This window comes from Homo sapiens, chromosome 18, assembly GCF_000001405.40.
Source record: "Homo sapiens chromosome 18, GRCh38.p14 Primary Assembly".
Taxonomy (NCBI): Eukaryota; Metazoa; Chordata; class Mammalia; order Primates; family Hominidae; genus Homo; species Homo sapiens.
In genome coordinates, this window is record NC_000018.10 from 20,930,358 (window position 1) to 20,951,618 (window position 21,261).

The 21,261-nt window shown below is 38.9% G+C and overlaps 1 protein-coding gene across 1 annotated transcript in view, besides 15 other annotated features; it reads right to left on the minus strand.

Annotated features, from left to right (window-relative positions):
* Positions 935-1,542: an enhancer, noted in NCBI's record as "OCT4-NANOG-H3K27ac-H3K4me1 hESC enhancer chr18:18511253-18511860 (GRCh37/hg19 assembly coordinates)". NCBI's record gives its function as "activates a minimal SCP1, AML or CMV promoter by ChIP-STARR-seq in naive and primed H9 embryonic stem cells {active_cell/tissue: H9 hESC(naive and primed)}" and the evidence as "EXISTENCE:reporter gene assay evidence [ECO:0000049][PMID:30033119]".
* Positions 1,543-2,150: an enhancer, noted in NCBI's record as "OCT4-NANOG-H3K27ac-H3K4me1 hESC enhancer chr18:18511861-18512468 (GRCh37/hg19 assembly coordinates)". NCBI's record gives its function as "activates a minimal SCP1, AML or CMV promoter by ChIP-STARR-seq in naive H9 embryonic stem cells {active_cell/tissue: H9 hESC(naive)}" and the evidence as "EXISTENCE:reporter gene assay evidence [ECO:0000049][PMID:30033119]".
* Positions 2,151-2,756: an enhancer, noted in NCBI's record as "OCT4-NANOG-H3K27ac-H3K4me1 hESC enhancer chr18:18512469-18513074 (GRCh37/hg19 assembly coordinates)". NCBI's record gives its function as "activates a minimal SCP1, AML or CMV promoter by ChIP-STARR-seq in naive H9 embryonic stem cells {active_cell/tissue: H9 hESC(naive)}" and the evidence as "EXISTENCE:reporter gene assay evidence [ECO:0000049][PMID:30033119]".
* Positions 2,757-3,364: an enhancer, noted in NCBI's record as "OCT4-NANOG-H3K27ac-H3K4me1 hESC enhancer chr18:18513075-18513682 (GRCh37/hg19 assembly coordinates)". NCBI's record gives its function as "activates a minimal SCP1, AML or CMV promoter by ChIP-STARR-seq in naive and primed H9 embryonic stem cells {active_cell/tissue: H9 hESC(naive and primed)}" and the evidence as "EXISTENCE:reporter gene assay evidence [ECO:0000049][PMID:30033119]".
* Positions 3,365-3,970: an enhancer, noted in NCBI's record as "OCT4-NANOG-H3K27ac-H3K4me1 hESC enhancer chr18:18513683-18514288 (GRCh37/hg19 assembly coordinates)". NCBI's record gives its function as "activates a minimal SCP1, AML or CMV promoter by ChIP-STARR-seq in naive and primed H9 embryonic stem cells {active_cell/tissue: H9 hESC(naive and primed)}" and the evidence as "EXISTENCE:reporter gene assay evidence [ECO:0000049][PMID:30033119]".
* Positions 3,971-4,578: an enhancer, noted in NCBI's record as "OCT4-NANOG-H3K27ac-H3K4me1 hESC enhancer chr18:18514289-18514896 (GRCh37/hg19 assembly coordinates)". NCBI's record gives its function as "activates a minimal SCP1, AML or CMV promoter by ChIP-STARR-seq in naive and primed H9 embryonic stem cells {active_cell/tissue: H9 hESC(naive and primed)}" and the evidence as "EXISTENCE:reporter gene assay evidence [ECO:0000049][PMID:30033119]".
* Positions 4,579-5,184: an enhancer, noted in NCBI's record as "OCT4-NANOG-H3K27ac hESC enhancer chr18:18514897-18515502 (GRCh37/hg19 assembly coordinates)". NCBI's record gives its function as "activates a minimal SCP1, AML or CMV promoter by ChIP-STARR-seq in naive and primed H9 embryonic stem cells {active_cell/tissue: H9 hESC(naive and primed)}" and the evidence as "EXISTENCE:reporter gene assay evidence [ECO:0000049][PMID:30033119]".
* Positions 5,185-5,792: an enhancer, noted in NCBI's record as "OCT4-NANOG-H3K27ac-H3K4me1 hESC enhancer chr18:18515503-18516110 (GRCh37/hg19 assembly coordinates)". NCBI's record gives its function as "activates a minimal SCP1, AML or CMV promoter by ChIP-STARR-seq in naive and primed H9 embryonic stem cells {active_cell/tissue: H9 hESC(naive and primed)}" and the evidence as "EXISTENCE:reporter gene assay evidence [ECO:0000049][PMID:30033119]".
* Positions 5,793-6,400: an enhancer, noted in NCBI's record as "OCT4-NANOG-H3K27ac-H3K4me1 hESC enhancer chr18:18516111-18516718 (GRCh37/hg19 assembly coordinates)". NCBI's record gives its function as "activates a minimal SCP1, AML or CMV promoter by ChIP-STARR-seq in naive and primed H9 embryonic stem cells {active_cell/tissue: H9 hESC(naive and primed)}" and the evidence as "EXISTENCE:reporter gene assay evidence [ECO:0000049][PMID:30033119]".
* Positions 6,401-7,008: an enhancer, noted in NCBI's record as "OCT4-NANOG-H3K27ac-H3K4me1 hESC enhancer chr18:18516719-18517326 (GRCh37/hg19 assembly coordinates)". NCBI's record gives its function as "activates a minimal SCP1, AML or CMV promoter by ChIP-STARR-seq in naive and primed H9 embryonic stem cells {active_cell/tissue: H9 hESC(naive and primed)}" and the evidence as "EXISTENCE:reporter gene assay evidence [ECO:0000049][PMID:30033119]".
* Positions 7,009-7,614: an enhancer, noted in NCBI's record as "OCT4-NANOG-H3K27ac-H3K4me1 hESC enhancer chr18:18517327-18517932 (GRCh37/hg19 assembly coordinates)". NCBI's record gives its function as "activates a minimal SCP1, AML or CMV promoter by ChIP-STARR-seq in naive and primed H9 embryonic stem cells {active_cell/tissue: H9 hESC(naive and primed)}" and the evidence as "EXISTENCE:reporter gene assay evidence [ECO:0000049][PMID:30033119]".
* Positions 7,615-8,222: an enhancer, noted in NCBI's record as "OCT4-NANOG-H3K27ac-H3K4me1 hESC enhancer chr18:18517933-18518540 (GRCh37/hg19 assembly coordinates)". NCBI's record gives its function as "activates a minimal SCP1, AML or CMV promoter by ChIP-STARR-seq in naive and primed H9 embryonic stem cells {active_cell/tissue: H9 hESC(naive and primed)}" and the evidence as "EXISTENCE:reporter gene assay evidence [ECO:0000049][PMID:30033119]".
* Positions 8,223-8,828: an enhancer, noted in NCBI's record as "OCT4-NANOG-H3K27ac-H3K4me1 hESC enhancer chr18:18518541-18519146 (GRCh37/hg19 assembly coordinates)". NCBI's record gives its function as "activates a minimal SCP1, AML or CMV promoter by ChIP-STARR-seq in naive and primed H9 embryonic stem cells {active_cell/tissue: H9 hESC(naive and primed)}" and the evidence as "EXISTENCE:reporter gene assay evidence [ECO:0000049][PMID:30033119]".
* Positions 8,829-9,436: an enhancer, noted in NCBI's record as "OCT4-NANOG-H3K27ac-H3K4me1 hESC enhancer chr18:18519147-18519754 (GRCh37/hg19 assembly coordinates)". NCBI's record gives its function as "activates a minimal SCP1, AML or CMV promoter by ChIP-STARR-seq in naive and primed H9 embryonic stem cells {active_cell/tissue: H9 hESC(naive and primed)}" and the evidence as "EXISTENCE:reporter gene assay evidence [ECO:0000049][PMID:30033119]".
* Positions 9,437-10,042: an enhancer, noted in NCBI's record as "OCT4-NANOG-H3K27ac-H3K4me1 hESC enhancer chr18:18519755-18520360 (GRCh37/hg19 assembly coordinates)". NCBI's record gives its function as "activates a minimal SCP1, AML or CMV promoter by ChIP-STARR-seq in naive and primed H9 embryonic stem cells {active_cell/tissue: H9 hESC(naive and primed)}" and the evidence as "EXISTENCE:reporter gene assay evidence [ECO:0000049][PMID:30033119]".
* ROCK1 (Rho associated coiled-coil containing protein kinase 1) overlaps positions 16,549-21,261 on the minus strand; it is a 164,908-nt gene continuing 160,195 nt past the window's right edge. Inside the window, exon 33 of the mRNA NM_005406.3 lies at positions 16,549-21,030. Within this exon, the coding sequence (NP_005397.1) occupies positions 21,027-21,030 (4 nt within the window). The 3' untranslated portion in view covers positions 16,549-21,026. The remainder of the gene's footprint in view (positions 21,031-21,261) is intronic.

Here is a 21,261-nt window from a genome sequence, read left to right on the forward strand (position 1 = left end):
CTTTCATAGAGCAGTTTTGAAACACTCTTTCTGTAGTATCTGGAAGTGGACATTTCGAGTGCTTTCAGGCCTATGGTGAAAAAGGAAATATCTTCCGATAAAAACTAGACAGAAGCATTCGCAGAAACTTGTTTGTGATATGTATCCTCAACTATCAGAGTTGAACATTTCATTTGACAGAGCAGTTTGGAAACACGCTTTTTGTAGAATCTGCAAGTGGATATTTGGATAGCTTTGTGGATTTCCTTGGAAACGGGAGTATCTTCATATAAAACCTAGACAGAAACATTCTCAGAAACTGCTATATGATGTCTGCATTCACGTCACAGAGTTGATCATTCCCTTTCATAGAGCAGGTTTGAAACACTCTTTCTGTACTATCTGGATGTGGACACTTGGAGCGCTTTGACGCTTAAGGTGCAAAAGAAATATCTTCCCATAAAAACTAGACAGAAGCATTCTCACAAACTGGATTGTGATGTTTGTCCTCAACTAACAGAGTTGAAACATTTTATTTGCAGAGCAGTTTTGAAAGACTGTTTTTGGAGAATCTTCAAGTGGATATTTGGAGAGCTTTAAGGAATTCATTGGAAACGGGAATATCTTCATATAAAATCTAGACAGAGGCATTCTCAGAAACTTCTTTGTGATGTGTGTCCTCAACTAACGGCGGTACATCCTGTCTTTTGATACAGCAGTTTGGAAACACTCTTTTTGTAGAATCTGCCAGTGGATATTTGCATAGCTCTAATGATTTCTTTGGAAACGGGAATACCTTCATATAAAATCTAGACAGAGGCACTCTCAGAAACTGCTTTGTGATATCTGCATTCAAGTCACACAGTTCAACATTCCCTTTCTTAGAGCAGGTTTGAAACACTCTTTTTGCAGGATCTGGAAGTGGACATTTGGAGCGCTTTGACGCCTTTGGTGATAAAGGAAATGTCTTCACATAAAAACTAGAAAGAAGCATTCTAAGAAACATCTTTGTGATATATGTACTCAACTAACCGAGTTGAACCTTGCTCTTTATAGATCAGCTTTTTAATGCTCTTTTTGTGGAATCTGCAAGTGGATATTTGGATAGCTTTCAGGATTTCGTTGGAAACGGGATTACAAACAAAATGTAGACAGCAGCATTCTCAGAAACTTCTTTGTGATGTTTGCTTTTAAGTCACAGAGTTGAACATTCCCTTCCATAGAGCAGTTTAGAAACACTCTTTCTATAGTATCTGGAAGTGGACATTTCGAGCGATTTCAGGCCTATGTTGAAAAACGAAATATCTTCCCATAAAAACTAGACAGTAGCATACTCAGAAGCTTCTTTGTGATGCTTGCTTTTAAGTCACAGAGTTGAACATTCCCTTTCGTAGAGCAGGTTTCAGACACTCTTTCTGTAGTATCTGGAAGTGGACATTTCGAGTGTTTTCAGGCCTATGGTGAACAAGGAAATATCTTCCCATAAAAACCAGACACAAGCATTTGCAGAAACTTGTTTGTGATGCGTGTCCTCAACTCACAGAATAGAACATTTCGTTTGACAGAGCAGCTTGGAAACACGCTTTTTGTAGAATCTGCAATTGGATATTTGGATAGCTTTGTGGATTTCTTTGGAAACGGGAGTATCTTCATATAAAACCTAGACGGAAACATTCTCAGAAACTCCTTTGTAATGTCTGCATTCACGTCACAGATTTGAACATTCCCTTTCATAGAGCAGGTTTGAAACACTCTTTCCGAAGTATCTGGATGTGGACACTTGGAGCGCTTTGACGCTTACGGTGAAAAGGAAATAACTTCCCATGAAAACTAGACAGAAGCATTCTCACAAACTGGTGTGTGATGTATGTCCTCAGCTAACAGAGTTAAACCTTTCTATTTACAGAGCAGTTTTCAAAGACTCTTTTTGGAGAATCTGCAAGTGGATATCTGGAGATCTTTAAGGATTTCATTGGAAACCGGAATATCTTCAGGTAAAATCTAGACAGAGGCATTCTCAGAAACTTCTTCGTGATGTGCGTCCTCAACTAACAGAGTACAACCTGTCTTTTGATACATCAGTTTGGAAACACTCTTTTTGTAGAATCTGGAAGTGGATATTTCGATAGCTCTAACGATTTTGTTGAAAACGGGAATAGCTTCATATAAAATCTAGGCAGAGGCACTCTCAGAAACTAATTTTGTGAGATCTGCATTCAAGTCACAGAGTTGAACATTCCCTCTCGTAGATCTGGTTTGAAACACTCTTTTTTTGTATCTGGAAGTGGATCTTTGGAGCTCTTTGACGACTTTGGTGAAAAAGGAAATATGTCCCCATAAAAACTACACCAAAGCATTCTCAGAAACTTGTTTGTGTTGTGTGTACTCATCTGACAGAGTTGAACGTTTCTTTTTACACAGCAGTTTTGAAACACTCTTTTTGTAGAATCTGCAAGTGGATAATTGGATGACTTTAAGGATTTCGTTGGAAACGGGACTATATTCATGTAAAATCTACACAGAAGCATTCTCAGAATCTTCTTTGTGATGTGTGTCCTCAACTAACAGAGTTCAACCTTTCTTTTGATACAGCAGTTTGGAAACACTCTTTTTGTAGAATCTTCAAGTGGATATTTGGATAGCTCTAACGATTTCGTTGGAAACGGGAATGTCTTCATATAAAATCTGTACAGAAGCACTCTCAGGAGCTACTTTGTGATATCTGCATTCAGGTCACAGAGTTGAACATTCCCTTTCTTAGAGCACGTTTGAAACACACTTTTTGTAGTATCTGGAAGTGGACATTTGGAGCGCTTTCACGCCTTTGGTGAAAAAGGAAATGTCTTCCCATAAAAACTAGACAGAAGCATTCTAAGAAACTTCTTTGTGATATATGCACTCAACTAACCGAGTTGAACCTTTCTCTTTATAGATCAGTTTGAAATGCTCTTTTTGTGGAATCTGCAAGTGGATATTTGGATAGCTCTGAGGATTTCGTTGGAATCGGGATTACATATAAAATATAGACAGCAGCATTCTCAGAAGCTCCTTGTGATGTTTGCTTTTAAGTCACAGAGTTGAACATTCCCTTCCATAGAGCAGTTTTGAAACACTCTTTCTGTAGTATCTCTAAGTGGACATTTCGAGCGATGTCAGGCCTATGTTGAAAAAGGAAATAACTTCCCATAAAAAGTAGACAGAAGCATTCTCAGAAACTTATTTGTGATGGGTGTCCTCAACTAACAGAGTTGAACGTTTCTTTTGATACAACAGTTTAGAAACACTCTTTTTGTAGTATCTGCAAGCGGATATTTCGATAACTTTGAAGATTTCGTTGGAAACGGGAATATCTTCATATACAATCTAGACAGAGGCACTCTCAGAAACTGCTTTGTGATGTCTGCATTCAAGTCACAGAATTGAACATTCTCTTTCATCGAGCACGTTTGTAACACCGTTTCTGTAGTATCTGGATGTGGACATTTGAGCGCTTTGACGCGTACGGTGACATAGGAAATATCTTCCCTTAAAAACTAGACAGAAGCCTTCTCACAAACTGCTTTGTGATGTATGTCCTCCACTAACAGAGTTGAACCTTTCTATTTACAGGGCAGTTTTGAAAGACTCTTTTTGTAGAATCTGCAAGCGGATATTTGGATACCTTTAAGTAGATTTCATTGGAAACGGAAAAGTCATTCTCAGAAACTTCTTTGTGATATGTGTCCCCACCTAACAGAGTACAACCTGTCTTTGGATACAGCAGTTTGGAAACACTCTTTTTGCAGAATCTGCAAGTGGATATTTGGATAGCTCTGACGATTTCCTTGGAAACGGGAATATCTTCATATAAAATCTAGACAGAAGCACTCTCAGGAGGTACTTTGTGATATCTGCATTCAAGTCACAGAGTTGAACATTCCCTTTCATAGAGCTGGTTTGAAACACTCTTTTTGTTGTATCTGGAAATGGATCTTTGGAGCGCTTTGCCGACTTTGGAGAAAAAGGAAATATCTTCCCATAAAAACTAGACAGAAGCATTCTCAGAAACTTGTTTGTGATGTGTGTACTCAACTGACAGAGTTGAACGTTTCTTTTTACACAGCAGTTTTGAAACACTCTTTTTGTAAAATCTGCAAGTGGATAATTGGATGGCTTTAAGGATTTCCTTGGAAACGGGACTATATTCATGTAAAATCTACACAGAAGCATTCTCAGAAACTTCTTTGTGATGTGTGTCCTTAACTAACAGAGTTCAACCTTTCTTTTGATACAGCAGTTTCGAAACACTCCTTTTGTAGAATATGCAAGTGGATATTTGGATAGCTCTAACGATTTCATAGGAAATGGGAATACCTTCATATAAAATCTAGACAGAGGCACTCTCAGAAACTGCTTTGTGATATCTGCACTCAAGTCACAGAGTTGAACATTCCCTTTCTTAGAGCAGGTTTGAGACACTTTGTAGTATCTGGAAGTGGACATTTTTAGCGCTTTGACGCCTTTGGTGAAAAAGGAAATGTTTTCCCATAAAAACTAGACAGAAGCATTCTAAGAAACTTCTTTGGGATATATGTACTCAACTAACAGAGTTGAACCTTTCTATTTATAGGTCAGTTTTGAGAAGCTCTTGTTGTGGAATCTGCAAGTGGATATTAGGATAGCTCTGAGGATTTCCTTGGAAACGGGATTACATATAAAAAGTAGACAGCAGCATTCTCAGAACCTTCTTTGTGATGTTTGCTTTTAAGTCACAGAGTTGAATATTCCCTTACATAGAGCAGGTTTGAAACACTATTTCTGTAGTATCTGGACATGGACATTTCGAGCGATTTCAGGCCTATGTTGAAAACGGAAATATCTTCCCATAAATACTAGACAGAAGCATTCTCAGAAATTTCTTTGTGATGTGTGTCCTCAACTAACAGAGTTCATCCTTTCTTATGATACAGCAGTTTTGAAACACTCTTTTTGTAGAATATGTAAGTGGATAGTTGGATAGCTCTCATTATTTCATTGGAAACGGGAGTATCAACATAGAAAACCTAGACAGAAAAATTCTCAGAAACTGCTTTATGATGTCTGCATTCACGTCACAGAGTTGATCATTCCCTTTCATAGAGCAGGTTTGAAACACTATTTCTGTAGTATGTGGACATGGACATTTCGAGCGATTTCAGGCCTATGTTGAAAACGGAAATATCTTCCCATAAAAACTAGACAGAAGCATTCTCAGAAATTTCTTTGTGATGTGTGTCCTCAACTAACAGAGTTCATCCTTTCTTATGATACAGCAGTTTGGAAACACTCTTTTTGTAGAATATGTAAGTGGATAGTTGGATAGCTCTCACTATTTCGTTGGAAACGGGAGTATCAACATAGAAAACCTAGACAGAAACATTCTCAGAAACTGCTTTATGATGTCTGCATTCACGTCACAGAGTTGATCATTCCCTTTCATAGAGCAGGTTTGAAACCCTCTTTCCGTAGTATCTGGATGTGGACACTTGGAGCGCTTTGACGCTTACGGTGCAAAAGGAAATATCTTCCCATAAAAACTAGACAGAAGCATTCTCACAAACTGGATTGTGATGTTTGTCCTCAACTAACAGAGTTGAAACTTTCTATTTACAGAGCACTTTTGAAAGACTCTTTTTGGAGAATCTGCAAGTGGATATTTGGAGAGCTTTAAGGATTTCATTGGAAACGGGAATATCTTCATATAAAATCTAGACAGAGGCATTCTCAGAAACTTCTTTGTGATGTGTGTCCTCAACCAACGGAGTACATCCTGTCTTTTGATACAGCAGTTTGGAAACACTCTTTTTGTAGAATCTGCAAGTGGATATTTGGATAGCTCTAACGATTTCGTTGGAAACGGGAATATCTTCATAAAAAATCTAGACAGAAGCACTCTCAGAAACTACTTTGTGATATCGGCATTCAAGTCACAGAGTTGAACATTCCCTTTCATGGAGCAGGTTTGAAACACTCTTTTTGTAGTATCTGGAAGTGGACCTTTGGAGCCCTTTAATGATTTTGGTGAAAAAGGAAATATCTTCCCATAAAAACGAGACAGAAGCATTCTCAGAAACTTGTTTGTGATTTGTGTACTCAACTAACAGAGTTGAACCTTTCTTTTTACAGAGCCGTTTTGAAACACTCTTTTTGTAGAATCTGCAAGTGCATATTTGAATGGCTTTAAGGATTTCGTTGGAAATGGCAATATCTTCATGTAAAACCTACACAGAAGCATTCTCAGAAACTTCTTTGTGATGTGTGTCCTCAACTAACAGAGTTGAACCTTTCTTTTGACAGAGCAGTTTTGAAACACTCTTTTTGTAGGATCTGCAAGTGGATATTTGGATAGCTTAGAGGATTTCCTGGGAAATGGGAATATATTCATATGAAATCTAGACAGAAGCATTCTCAGAAACTTCTTTGTGATCTTTTCATTCAACTCGTAGAGTTGAACATTCCCTTTCATAGAGCCAGTTTGAAACACTCTTCTTGTAGTATCGGGAAGTGGACATTTGGAGCGCTCTGACGCCTATGGTGAAAATGGAAATATCTTCCCATAAAAACTAGACAGAAGGATTCTCAGAAACATGTTTGTGATGTATGTACTCAGCTAAGAGAGTGGAACCTTTCTTTTTACAGAGCAGCTTTGATACACTATTTTTGTAGAATCTGCAATTTGATATTTTGATTGCTTTAAAGATATCGTTGGAAACAGGAATATCTTCATATAAAATCTAGACAGAAGCACTCTCGGAAACGACTTTGTGATATCTGCATTCAAGTCTCAGAGTTGAACGTTCCCTTTCTTAGAGCAGGTTTGAAACACTCTTTTTGTAGTATCTGGAAGTGGACATTTGGAGCGCTTTGACGCCTTTGGTGAAAAAGGAAATGTCTTCCCATAAAAACTAGACAGAAGCATTCTAAGAAACTTCTTTGGGATATATGTACTCAACTAACAGAGTTGAACCTTTCTATTTATAGATCAGTTTTGAAACGCTCTTTTTGTGGAATCTGCAAGTGGATATTTGGATGGCTTTGAGGATTTCGTTGGAAACGGGATTATATATAAAAAGTAGACAGCAACATTCTCAGAAGCTTCTTTGTGATGTTTGCTTTTAAGTCACAGGTTTGAACATTCCCTTTCATAAAGCAGGTTTGAAACACTCTTTCTGTAGTATCTGGAAGTGGACATTTTGAGCGCTTTCTGGCCTATGTTGAAAAAGGAAATATCTTTCCATAAAAAGTAGACAGAAGCATTCTCAGAAACTTATTTGTGATGTGTGTCCTCAACTAACAGAGCTGTACCTTTCTTTTGATACAGCAGTTTGGAAACACTCTTTTTGTAGAATTTGCAAGTGGATATTTGGATAACTTCGAAGATTTCGTTGGAAACGGGAATATCTTCATATAAAATCTAGACAGAAGCATTCTCAGAAACTGCTTTTTGATGTCTGCATTCAAGTCACAGAGTTGAACATTCCCTTTCATCTAGCCGGTTTGAAACACTCTTTTTGTAGTATCTGGATGTGGACATTTTGAGCGCTTTGACGCCTACAGTGAAAAAGGAAATATCTTCCCATAAAAAGTAGACAGAAGCATTCTCAGAAACTTGTTTGTGATGTATGTCCTCAACTAACAGAGTTGAACAATTCTTTTTACAGAGCAGTTTTGAAACACTCTTTTTGTAGAATCTGCAGGTGGATATTGGGATAGCTTTAAGGATTTCATTGGAAACGGGAATATCCAAATATCAACTTGCAGATTCTACAAAAATAGTGTATCAAAGCTGCTCTGTAAAAAGAAAGGTTCCACTCTGTTAGCTGAGTACACACATCACAAACATGTTTCTGAGAATCCTTCTGTGTAGTTTTTATAGGAAGATATTTCCTTTTTCAGCATAGGCATCAGAGCGCTCCAAATGTCCACTTCCCGGTAGTACAAGAAGAGTGTTTCAAACCGGCTCTATGAAAGGGAATGTTCAACTCTACGAGTTGAATGAAAAGATCACAAAGAAGTTTCTGAGAATGCTTCTGTCTAGATTTTATATGTATATATTCCCGTTTCCAACGAAATCCTCTAAGCTATCCAAATATCCACTTGCAGATTCCGCAAAAAGAGTGTTTCAAAACTGCTCTGTCAAAAGAAAGGTTCAATTCTGTTAGTTGAGTACAAACATCACAAAGAAGTTTCTGAGAATGCTTCTGTCTAGTTTTTATGGGAAGATATTTCCTTTTTCACCATGGGCCTCAAAGTGCTTCAAACGTCCACTTCCAGATACTACAAAAAGAGTGTTTCAAACCTGCTCTATGAAAGAGAATGTTCAATTCTGTGACTTGAAGGCAGACATCACAAAGCAGTTTCTGAGAATGCTTCTGTCGAGATTATATACGAAGATACTCCCGTTTCCAACGAAATCCTAAAATCTATCCAAATATCCACTTGCAGATTCTACAAAAAGAGTGTTTCAAAACTGCTCTGTGAAAAGAAAGCTTCAACTCTGTTAGCTGAGTACACACATCACAGACAAGTTTCTGAGAATGCTTCTGTCTATTTTTTATGGGAAGATATTTCCTTTTTCACCATAGGCGTCAAAGCGCTCGAAATGTCCACTTCCACATACTACAAAAAGAGTGTTTCAAACCTTCTCTATGAAAGGGAATGTTCAACTCTATGAGTTGAATGCAAACATCAGAACGAAATTTCTGAGAATGCTGCTGTCCACTTTTTATATGAATGCGCGCTTTCAACGAAATCCTCAAAGCAATCCAAATATCCACTTGCAGATTCCACAAAAAGAGTGTTTCAAAACTCCTCTATCAATAGAAAGTTTCAACTCTGTTAGTTGAGGACACACATCACAAATAAGTTTCTAAGAATGCTTCTGTGTAGATTTTACATGAAGATATTCCCGTTTCCAATGCCATCCTTAAAGCCATGCAAATATCCACTTGCAGATTCTACAAAAAGAGTGTTTCAAAACTGCTCTGTAAAAAGAAAGGTTCAACTCTGTTAGTTGAGTACACACATCACAAACAAGTTTCTGAGAATGCTTCTGTCTCGTTTTTATGGGAAGATATTTCCTTTTTCACCAAAGTCGTCAAAGCGCTCCAAATGTCCACTTCCAGATACTACAAAAAGAATGTTTCAAACCTGCTCCATGAAAGGGAATGTTCAACTCTGTGACTTGAATGCCGATATCACAAAGTAGTTTCTGAGAGTGCTTCTGTCTAGATTTTATATGAAGATATTCTCATTTCCAATGAAATCGTTAGAGCTATCCAAATATCCACTTGCAGATTCTACAAAAAGAGTGTTTCCAAACTGCTGTATCAAAAGAAAGGTTGAACTTTGTTAGTTGAGGACACACATTACAAAGAAGTTTCTGAGAATGCTTCTGTCTAGATTTTATATGAAGATTTTCCCGTTTCCAATGAAATCCTTAAAGCTATCCCAATATCCACCTGTAGATTCTACAAAAAGAGTGTTTCAAAACTGCTCTGTAAAAAGAATGGTTCAACTCTGTTAGTTGAGGACACACATCACAAACAAGTTTCTGAGAATGCTTCTGTCTAGTTTTTGTGGGAAGATATTTCCTTTTTCACTGTAGGCATCAAAGCGCTCCAAATGTCCACATTCAGATACTACAAAAAGAGTGTTTCAAACCTGCTCGATGAAAGGGAATGTTCAACTCTGTGACTTGAATGCAGACATCACAAAGCAGTTTCTGAGAATGTTTCTGTCTAGATTTTATATGAAGATACTCCCGTTTCCAATGAAATCCACAAAGCTATCCAAATATCCACTTGCAGATTCTACAGAAAGCGTGTTTCCAAACTGCTCTGTCAAACGAAATGTTCAACTCCGTTAGTTGAGGACACACATCAGAAACAAGTTTCTGCGAATGCTTCTGTGTAGTTTTTATGGGAAGATATTTCCTTTTCCACCATAGGCCTGAAAGCGCTCGAAATGTCCACTTCCAGATACTACAGAAAGAGTGTTTCAAACCTGCTCTATGAAAGGGAATGTTTTATATTTGTATGTATCATATGCCAATTGTTACCTTTTTTGGCAGCACTGAAAATTCAGGTGATCTTAAACATCAGACAGATAACACAAATAAGTGGTCCAGGTAAGGACTGTGTGAAATAGAAAACATATCCTCTCTCAGAAAACAGTGAGAGGATATTGCTGATGTGCAGGCCTCTGGCCCTTTGTTGAGAAACAGTTATTGGAAATCAGATTTGTATTTGAAGTATTCCAGTTTTTAAATTAGCAACTATTTTCTTGCAACCCCAGCACTTTTGGAGGCCAAGATGGGCAGATTGCTTGAGCTCAGTAGTTCAAGACCAGCCTGGGCAACATGGCAAGACCCCATCTCTACCAAAAATACAAAAAATTAGCTGGGCATGGTGGCATGTGCTTGTGGTCCCAGCTACTAGGGAGACTGAGGTGGGAGGATCACTTGAGCCCAGGAGGCAGAGCTTGCAATGAACCGAGATTGCACCACTGCACTCCAGCCTGGGCAAGAGAGTGAGACCCCATCTGATGTGATTTGGCTGTGTCCCCACCCAAATCTCGTATTGAATTCCCACATGTGTGGGAGGGACCTGGTGGGAGGTAGTTGAATCATGGGGGCAGGTCTTTCCTGTGCTGTTCTCATGGTGGTGAATGACTCTCATGGGATCTGATGATTATAGAAGGGGGAGTTTCCCTGCACAAGCTCTTTTATCTTGTCTGCCACCATGTGAGACATGCCTTTCACCCTCCACCACGATTGGGAAGCCTCCTCAGCCACGTGGAACTGTAAGTCCATTAAATGTCTTTCTTTTGTAAATTGCCCAGTCTCAGGTATGTCTTTATCAGCAGTGTGAAAATGGACTAATACAGTAAATTGGTACCAGAAGTGGGGTGTTGCTGAGAAGATACCGGAAAATGTGGAAGCAACTTTGGAACTGGGTAACAGGCAGAGGTTGAAACCGTTTGGAGGGCTCAGCAGAAGACAGGAAAATGTGGGAAAGTTTGGAACTTCCTAGAGATTTGTTGAATGGCTTTGTCCAAAATGCTGATAGCGATATGGACAATAAGGTCCAGGCTGAGGTGGACTCAGATGGAGATGAGGAACTTGTTGGGAACAGGAGCAAAGGTGACTCTTGTTATGTTTTAGCAAAGAGACTGGCAACATTTCGCCCCTGCCTTAGAGATTTATGTAAGTTTGAACTTCAGAGAGATGATTTAGGGTATCTGGTGGAAGAAATGTCTAAGCAGCAAAGCATTCAAGGGGTGACATGGGTGCTGTTAAAGGCATTCAGTTTTATAAGGGAAGTAGAGCATAAAAGTTCAGAAAATTTGCAACCTGACAATGTGATAGAAAAGAAAAACTCATTTTCTGAGGAGAAATTGAAGCTGGCTGCAGAAATTTGCATAAGTAAGATGTTAATCCCCAAGACAATGGGAAAAATGTCTCCAGGGTATGTCAGAGGCCTTCACGGCAGCCCCTCCCATCACAGACCCAGAGGCCTAGGATAAAATGGTTTTGTGGGCCAGGCAGGGTCCACATGCTGTGTGCAATCTAAAGACTTGGTGCTCTGCATCCCAGCCACTCCAGCCGTCACTAAAAGGGGCTAAGAGACAGCTTGGGCTGTTGCTTCAGAGAGTGGAAAACCCAAGCCTTGGCAGGTTCCATGTGGTGTTGAGCCTGTAGGTGCAGAGAAGTCAAGAACTGAGGTTTAGGAACCTTGGCCTAGATTTCAGATGTATGGAAATGCCTGGATGCCCAGGCAGAAGTTTGCTGCAGGGGTGGGGCCCTCATGGAGAACCTTTGCCAGGGCAGTGCAGAAGGGATGTGAGGTTGGAGTCTCCACACAGAGTCCTTACTGGGGTACCGCCTAGGGCCACCATCCTCCAGACCCCAGAATGGTAGATCCACTGACAGCTTGCACTGTGTGCCTGGAAAAGCCACAGACACTCAACACCAGCCCATGAAAGCAGCCAGGAAGGGGGCTGAACCCTGCAGTCACAGGGGCAGGGCTGCCCAAGACCATGGGAACCCACTTCTCCCAACAGTGTGACCTGGATATGAGACATGGAGTCAAAAGATGTCACTTTGGAGCTTTAAGATTTGACTGCCCCACTGTATTTTGGACTTGCATGGATCCTGTAGCCCCTTTGTTTTGGCCAATGCCTCCCATTTGGAATGGCTGTATTTATCCAATGCCTGTGCCCCCATTGTATCCAGGAAGTAACTAACTTGCTTTTGATTTTACAGGCTCATAGGCGGAAGGGACTTGCCTGGTCTCGGATGGGACTTTGGACTGTGGACTTTTGAGTTAATGCTGAAATGAGTTAAGACTTTGGAAGACTGTTGGGAAGGCATGATTGGTTTGTTTTGTTTTTCCTTTTCTTTTTTTAAGATGGAGTCTTGCTCTGAGTCCCAGGCTGGAATGCAGAGGCATGATCTCAACTCACTGCAACCTCTGCTTCCCAGGTTTAAGGGATTCTCCTGCCTCAGCCTCCTGAGTAGCTGGGATTATGGGTGCCTGCCACCATGCCTGGCTAACCTTTATATATTTAGTAGAAACAGGGTTTCACCATGTCAGGCTAGTCTTGAACTCTTGACCTCAGGTGATTCACCCACCTCAGCCTCCCAAAGTGCTGGGATCACAGGCATGAGCCACTGCACCCGGCTGCATGATTGGTTTTGACATACGAAGACATAAGATTTGGGAGGGGCCAGGGATGGAATGATGTAGTTTGGCTGTGTCCCTACCCAAATCTCATCTTGAATTCCCAGGCATTGTGGGAGGCTTTGGGGGAGGTAGTTTAATCATGGGGGCACGTCTTTCCTGTGCTGTTCTTGTGGGGGTAAGTGACCCTCACGGGATCTGATGATTATATAAGTGGAAGCTTTCCTGCACAAGCTTTCTTATCTTGTCTGCCTCCATGTGAGACAAGCCTTTCAGCCTCCACCATGATTGTGAAGCTTCCCCAGCCACATGGAACTGTAAGTCCATTAAATGTCTTTCTTTTGTAAATTGCTCAGTCTCAAGTATGTCTTTATTAACAGGGTGAAAATGGACTAATACACATCTCAAAAAAAAGATAAATTAGCAACTAAACGATATTTTTAAAATATGATATGAGTCTAACAAAACAAATAAGGCTAAATATGACTAAGGTCTCTTGCTAGTTCTAATCATTTTTCAGTTAGTTGTTTGGAACAGTTTTGGTAAGCAATCATGATCGGCAAGTAATGGCAGGTTTGCTGCTTCTTTCCAATATGTGTAATACGTATTTGTGTTTTGCTGCATTTATCTCAGAAAAATGTTGAATAATAGTAGGAATCCTGGTTGTTTCTGACTCTGGTTTCCTTGTTAATTACAATGTTTGTTCTAGGTTGGCCTGCCTCTTTTATAGTTAGAGGAGTTATTGATCACATAATTTGTAATAATAATATGATTAACATGAGAATAGTTGAGAGTTTCTACTTTTTGAGTATTTGTGGTGCAAGTGTGAATTAATGTAATACATTCATTAAACAAGTGAGCTAATGAGAAATACAATTTCAGGCACGATTATGAAGATGTTCCCTTTTTTCTATGACAGTAAATGCACTTTCTTGAAAGCCTGGTTGGAATAGATATGACATTATAATGTAATGTAAATACTCTTTGGATTGTAAATGGTATAAATAATGTTGATGAAATAAACAAGGTATAGAGGCAGGGCTTCGTGGCTTACATATGTAATCCCAGCACTTTGGGAGGCCAAGGTGGGAGGATTGCTTGGGCCTAGGAGTTCAAGAGCAGCCTGGACAACAGTGGAACCCCATCTCTACAAAAAGTAAGAAAATCAGCCGGGCATGGTGGTGCATGCCTGTAGTCCTAGCTACTTGGGAGGCTTAGGTGGGGGGAGGATCGCTTGAGCCCAGGAGGTCGAGGCTGCAGTGAGCTGTGATCACACCATTGCACTCCAGCCTGGGCGACAGAGCAAGACCTTATCTTAAACAAAAACAAAAAAACAAAAACAATCAAACAAAAACAAAAAAAGCCAAGTTATAGAGTATTACATGTGAAAAGTGTAATGCCATTTATATAAATGTAGAAGCCATATAAAACAGCTTTATATAGATACAAGGGTTTTAGCAAAGGGACAGAATGCGAATGAGGAGAATACACATCAAATTAACAGCAGTTATTTATGGCTTTTGAGGGGGAAGGAAAGAGAATAGAACTGGGAACGGAGGTACACAGAAGTCTTTGGTTAAATCTGTAATTTTTATTTCTTTAAAAAAAGCAATTTAAAGGAAATATAAAGACAATATTTGCTCATTCTGGGTAGTAGGTATAAAAATGCATTTTATATTTTTTGCAGAATTAAAAAATATCAGTATTATCTTGAACTTAGTAAAATAAATGAGCCTATTCACAGATAGCAGTGTTTAATGCAGTATAATTATATGGATAATTAGAATAACAATATGGTACACAGGACAGACCTAGGAATTCTTGTTGAATAGTCAGAACCACAGAAGTGAGCTGTAGTTGACACAGGATGTAATGTATATATGGTGTAAAAAGGAAAAATAAGAAAAATTTCTATAATAGCTAATATTAGTTTCTGAATATTATGAAATGACAACATACAACATATATCCAACTGAACAATGCCTAGAGATGAATTTTAGTAATAAAGTTCCTGTTAAATGACATTACCATAAAGGAAAAATAATCTATAGTGTTCATAAAGCTCATAATTCATTTAATGTTTCCTTTATGAAGTGTAGCCTGCTAGAGGCTTTCAGTCCAGTAAAAAATGACACCTATTATTATATTTGTTATTTTGCATTTGATAAAATGTTCATTTACAGCTATATTTCTGCCTACTATAAATGAGTGATGAGTTCATACTATAAAGTTTAAAAAACCAAGACTTATTTCCATACCATGACAGTGAAATCAAAGTTTTCCCCTCTAAATAACAGATTATGATATATGAAATATACTAAAGCCCAGTAAGTCAGGATTCAAATTCATGACTGTTTTTTTTTCAGCTGTAAGTTAGTTTACCTTCACATTCCATCTAGCAAATTGAGGTTTATAGCTGTGTGCCCTAGAACAGAATATTATGTATTTTATTATTTATTGAGACAGAGTCTGTCACCCGGGCTGGAGTGCAGTGGCACAATCACGGCTCACTGCAGCCTCAACTTCCTGGGCTCCAGCAATCCTCCCACCTCAGCCTCCCAAGTAGCTGAGACCACAGATGCATGCCACCACACCTTGCTACTTTTTTGTATTTTGGTAGAAACAGGGTTTTGCTATGTTGCCCACGGCTGGTCTTGAGCTACCTAAGTGACCACTGGCCTTGGCCTCCCAAAGTGCTGAGATAACAGGCATGAGCCACTGTGCCTGGCCTAAACATATAAAATTGTCCTATCATAAAGTAGGGATGTTAATACCTATAGTTGGTAATACCTTGTAAAGTTGAGAATAGGATACTTTTTGTAAAGGTGAAAGTTACGTTTTAACCTTGAAACATCTTAATTTCAAGATCTTGAGGTAATAACGTAGTGGAAACATTTTTTTTTCTTTTCTAGTTTTGACCTCCTTTATGCCTACTCTTAGATGGCCCCTCTTGTGATTAATTGACATATTTTGAATGAGAATTAGGCCTGAGCAGAGTTAGCAAATGTGTTGCACACAGCACAGAACTTACATCAACCAGAACTAATGAAACCTTGGCCAAGAGTGAGTAAATCTAAGAAACATCCATTCAGGCTGGGCATGGTGGCTCACGCCTATAATCTCAGCACTTTGGGAGGCTGAGGTGGGTGGATCACAAGGTCAGGAGTTCGAGACCAGCCTGGCCAACATGGCGAAACCCCGTCTCTACTAAAAATACAAAAATTAGCTGGGCATAGTGGCAGGCGCCTGTAATCCCAGCTACTCGGGAGGCTGAGGCAGGAGAACTGCTTGAACCCGGGAGGTGGAGGTTGTAATGAGCCAAGATCGCACCACTGCACTCCAGCCTGGCAACAAGAGCAAGACTCCATTTCAAAACAAAACAAAACAAACCAGAAACATCCATTCGGCCTAAGTAGAAGGAAGATCCAAAATATTTCCTTTTACCCAGCTGGGCCCATATTATATTTCTGCCACATTATTTGGTTGTAGACTTTATTTATTTATTTATTTATTTAGATGGAGTTTCTCTCTGTCGCCCAGGATGGAGTGCAGTGGTGTGATCTCGGCTCACTGCAAGCTCCGCCTTGTGAGTTCACGCCATTCTCCTGCCTCAGCCTCCCGAGTAGTTGGGACTACAGGCGCCCACCACCACGCCTGGCTAATTTTGTTTTTGTATTTTTAGTAAAAATGGGGTTTCACCATGTTAGCCAGGCTGGTCTCAATCTCCTGACCTGGTGATGTGCCCACCTTGGCCTCCCAAAGTGCTGGGATTACAGGCGTGAGCCACTGTGCCCGGCCGGTTGTAGACTTTCTTAAATAACTAGTCTAAGTGAAAGTTAGATTCTACACTCACAGTTATCCAGGCAAATGAACCACTTAATTCAATTTAATAGCCAAACCATCCTACATGGTACAAGAAACCAATTTATAGGATTAACATACAAGTGTCACTTTATTCACAATCTTTGCATTATACACTTTATTTCTAAGCATTTATATTTTTTCCCTTGAATCTCCAACATCTCAAATACTTTATGGGAAACAGTATAGCTTGGGAGAAAGTATCATATCTTAATTCTCATAAGACAATTCATTAACATTTGGCAAAAGAAAGGAGATATTTAATCTCTTTGTATGTTAGACTTTCAATATGTGAAGTGGAATTAATGTTATTCTTTTCCTACCTCACAAAAATCTGAGTTACATATACTTTGGAGATAATCCATTAGAAAACACAGCTAACTGTTAATAACAGTTATGAAGGAATTGGTGGGGTGGGGTGGGGTTTAGGAAGTGCAGACTGACTTTCTACTAGAATATTCTTTGCATTTAATTTATTGCAATAAGCATAGATCTTGTCCAGAAAAAAAACACTAAAAGCATAAAAGATTTGGCAGTAAATATATCTAGGCCATTGAGCATGGCTTTATATATACATACTATCCAACCAGAAATTGATTTGAACAGTAAACATTATAAAAACAAAGAATAATTGTGATTAAGATTTCCAAGTGTCAGGCCAGGCACGGTGGCCTACACCTGTAATGAGAGAGTAAAACTGCTTGAGGCTAGGAGTTAGAGACCACCCTGGGCAACATAATCTCATCGGATTGTCATTATATGACTATTTATTAACCTAATGATCAACTTTAAAAATCATTTGTTTATTTAAAAAAACCATTTCCGTTTATTCATGTCTTTTTAAACTTCTCCAAATGTCTTACAATTTTCTTGGTGGAGGTCGTATACATCTTTCAGTAGATTGTTTTTAAATTTATATGGGAATGCAACCAGGCGCGGTGGCTCATGCCTGTAATCCCAGCACTTTGGGAGGCCAAGGTGGGTGTGGATCACCTGAGGTCAGGAGTTCAAGACCAGGCTGGCCAACATGGTGAAACCCTGTCTCTACTAAAAATACAAAAATTAGCTGGGCATGGTGGTGGGCACCTGTAATCCCAGCTACTCGGGAGTCTGAGGCAGGAGGATCACTTGAACCTGGGAGGCGGAGGTTGCAGTGAGCCGAGATCGCGCCACTGCACTCCAGCCTGGGCAACAAGAGCGAAACTTCGTTTCAAAACAAAAATAAAAAATTATATGGAAATGCAAAAGGCCAAGAATAGCCAAGCCAATTGGGAGGGATTACAAAGTTGGACTTCTACTACAGATATAAAATCTTATTATAAAGTTACAGTAATTAAAAGTGTGATATTGGCAAGGACACAGAAATAACACCAATGGATTGTTCACCTGAATTACGATGCAGGAAAGAAGTATTTTCAATGAATACTGCAGTATCAACTGAATATCCATATGGGAGAAATACTGCTTGATCTCTACCTCACTCTGAATTCCAGATTGATTATAGAACTGTGAAAGTTAACTATGAATTACAAACTCAAGTAACTATGAGTTTGTCATTTAAGTTCTTTTACTTATTTTTTTTACTTTAAATGAAGGGTGAATGGGTTAATTTAAGCTGAAACCCCAAATGACAGGTCATGAGTGAACCTGTGAATAATGACAGTGGCTATGTTTTCTTTGTTGCCCAAAGCTGGAGTTCCTGATCTCAGAGAAGCTTACAGGTGTGGGTGCATGGGCTAACTCAATGCTGAACCTTCATTCCACACTCCTAGTGTGTCCTCCTGTAACAAATTAGAGAGAAAGCTAGAGGCTATATTTCTCAGACTTTCTTGCAGCTAGGGGTCTGGATGTGATTTAATTTTGGCCACGTAGATGCACCTAGAGAAGGCAGACGTGAGATGCAGGCTGTGCTAAATGCCAGCAAGCAGGGTCATGGAAGTGCCTTTTCTGAGGCAGTGTGCAGACATGAGGTTCTTAAGTGGCAAGAGGAATGGTACAAAACATCTAACTGGAGGTAGATTGTAGCAAGCCTGACAAGTGTTGCAGAGAACCAGCAGTGGTAGTGTGGATTCCTGATTATGGCACTATCTGGACCCTCTCAATATTGGTATACTTGGGAGTGAGTGGTTTCCTGAACTTAGAAGAGGAAGCAGCTCTCCTGGTTGACCCAGTTCTGTAATGTGGCATTGGGAGTGATTCCTCAAAGCTCTCTCAGTTCTCAACAATTCTAAGTTCAGATTAGTATGTCATTTGGAAAGTCTTCTCTTGCTTAAACTAATTAGAATTAACTCTGTTCTCTGCAACTGGACCTTAAAATATTAGGTAATGGTGATGAGTCTGAGAAGGTAGTAAGGACACCGTCAGGAACTGTGCTGAGATTTTATCCTGTTTGCATGCTGCCAGTCACAGTTTCATGGATCCTGACAAAAGAGATGAGACCCCTGGGTCAGAGTCAGATGACTTCATTCACAGCACAGCAAAAGCAGCATAAGTTTCACGTTCCATCAGTTCCCTTTGCCCTCCAAGCCCCATGTGGGCAATGCAGAGTGGCCCAGGTGGGTGCTGAGCACACAGTGGGTTTGCATCATAGGTGGGAGACGTTATCTTTATTATACTGGACAGTAAAAGAACCCGACATCCTCACAAGGGAGAACTCTATCTTCCAAGGCTGTTTACTACATAAATATCCTTGGAAAAGATAGTCAAAAGAAAGGTTGTCAGAGCCTCTGCTTCCCTGATGTGTAGAAATGCAAGAGACCCATGGAGAATTGTTTTCCAACACACTTTAGCCAGCTTTTCATGTGAACTATTCCCACTCTTGTTTTAGAGCCCAAGACCACGTTTTATCTTTTAAAAATACACTTTAATCTAACCATGGAATTTCACAAACATTTATATACAATCAGAGACTAATTTGAAGTATGTTTTCCATTCATTTCAGCCATGAGAAAACACATTGCAGTAAAAATTAAAGATACCCATCCATAAATTACTTTTATTTCTCATTAAATGAGCACAGAGTCATTAGTATATTAATAACAGATATGTTTATTATTACATATCCATCAGTGCGGCTTTCAATACCACTTGAAACATGCATATCATCCTAGAGACGATCGGTTTTCCAGTGCTTCTTATCTGATACACATTACTGCAAAGCCATTATAAATTACTGAGGAGGTATTTGGTTAAAAAAATAAACAATAAATCATACTGTCCATATGAATCAACTCTTGTTACTGGACAAGAGTTTAACAGTATTTATCTGGTAATTCCTATGTTAACTGGAAAACATCATGGATGTATTGCCATATTTCCTTTTTATGTTGGTGCAACCTTCTACATTTTTTGCAGTTTTATAAAGTCATTATTGTAGCAGGTAGTTTGATGCAAAGATTGTACTCAATTTATGAAAGTCCAACAAACCTCTAAATATTTTAAATTAAACCAATTATCAATGAAAAACTCACTGACACACATAATTTTTTGAAAATACATTTTTTGAAATTTCTATACTTACTCATGGCAGTAAAATAATTATCTCAAATTAAGGCACTAAAAGGACAATGCAACCCCCATTGAAAGTGTTCTAAGAATAATTTACATTTCAAACAGTGCATACATTTCTTATATGTTTGTTAACTTAATGTCTTTATCATTTAAAACCACAAAGAAATACATTATACAATTATAGAAATGATGTACCCCACAAAATGCTTTTAAACTTGGTTCTTTTGTACAGTTAGTTTCCTAATGTCTCTAGTAGTAAAATAACTCAATATGGCTTGGCAAAAATGCATAGATTAAATGTAACTTTTTTTTGTCCTCTCCCATTCCCCAAACTTGCTGAAACATATACAGTATTTTGTAAAGCATAATGAAAGATATTTAATTTCTCCATCAAGTCCAACATGGGCAATCAACAGTAAGGCTTTTAAATTCTACAGTGAGGGCACTGAAGTTCAAGTGATATCACTGCTTTCTTAAAATAGTTTTGTATAGTCTTGCAAGAGCACAAAAACTTAAGTCATTAAAAAAAAAACAAAACTTCAGTTTGTCTCATTTTGAGATATTTTCTTTACTCCTTCCATGAGCTGATCTTGATAGTGATGGCTGTTCCACTTGAAAGTGAAAGTCCCTTCCTCTTACTCATATGAGGAAAACTCTGTTCTATCACGACTGACAGGCATTTTCTTATAAATCCAAAAAGGCAGCACCTTTTAAAAAAAATATATCTACCTAAGCTTTCCCCCAACTGTACTTGCATTACATAGTAATAATTAATCTAATCTACCTGTAGGCAAACCCGCAATAAAAAAAACCCTCAGTGTGTTGTGCCAAAGCAAGGACAGAAAAACAGCAATCTTAACCCTGAAGCCTGTGATATTTGTGTCAAAGAAACAGCCTGTCTGCTCTGCATGGTTAAAGAAGCCTGGTTTATCAGGTAGCATCCCACACGATTCCACAGGGCACTCAGTCACATGGTTAACTGTTGAGGGAGGGGGAAAAAACTAATTTAAGAAATGCACTCAGTTTAAAAATACAAGAAACAAACATTAGGAGGAAAGGTAAATATACATTATCTTTACATAAAATAATTAACAATTACACAAAATTTGGAAAACAAGGAATAGGAAAAATATACTTAGTATTCTCTCCTCTTTGTTTCTACACATTTTCTTACTCAGCTATAATCTCATTTCAAATCATTTTAGATCCA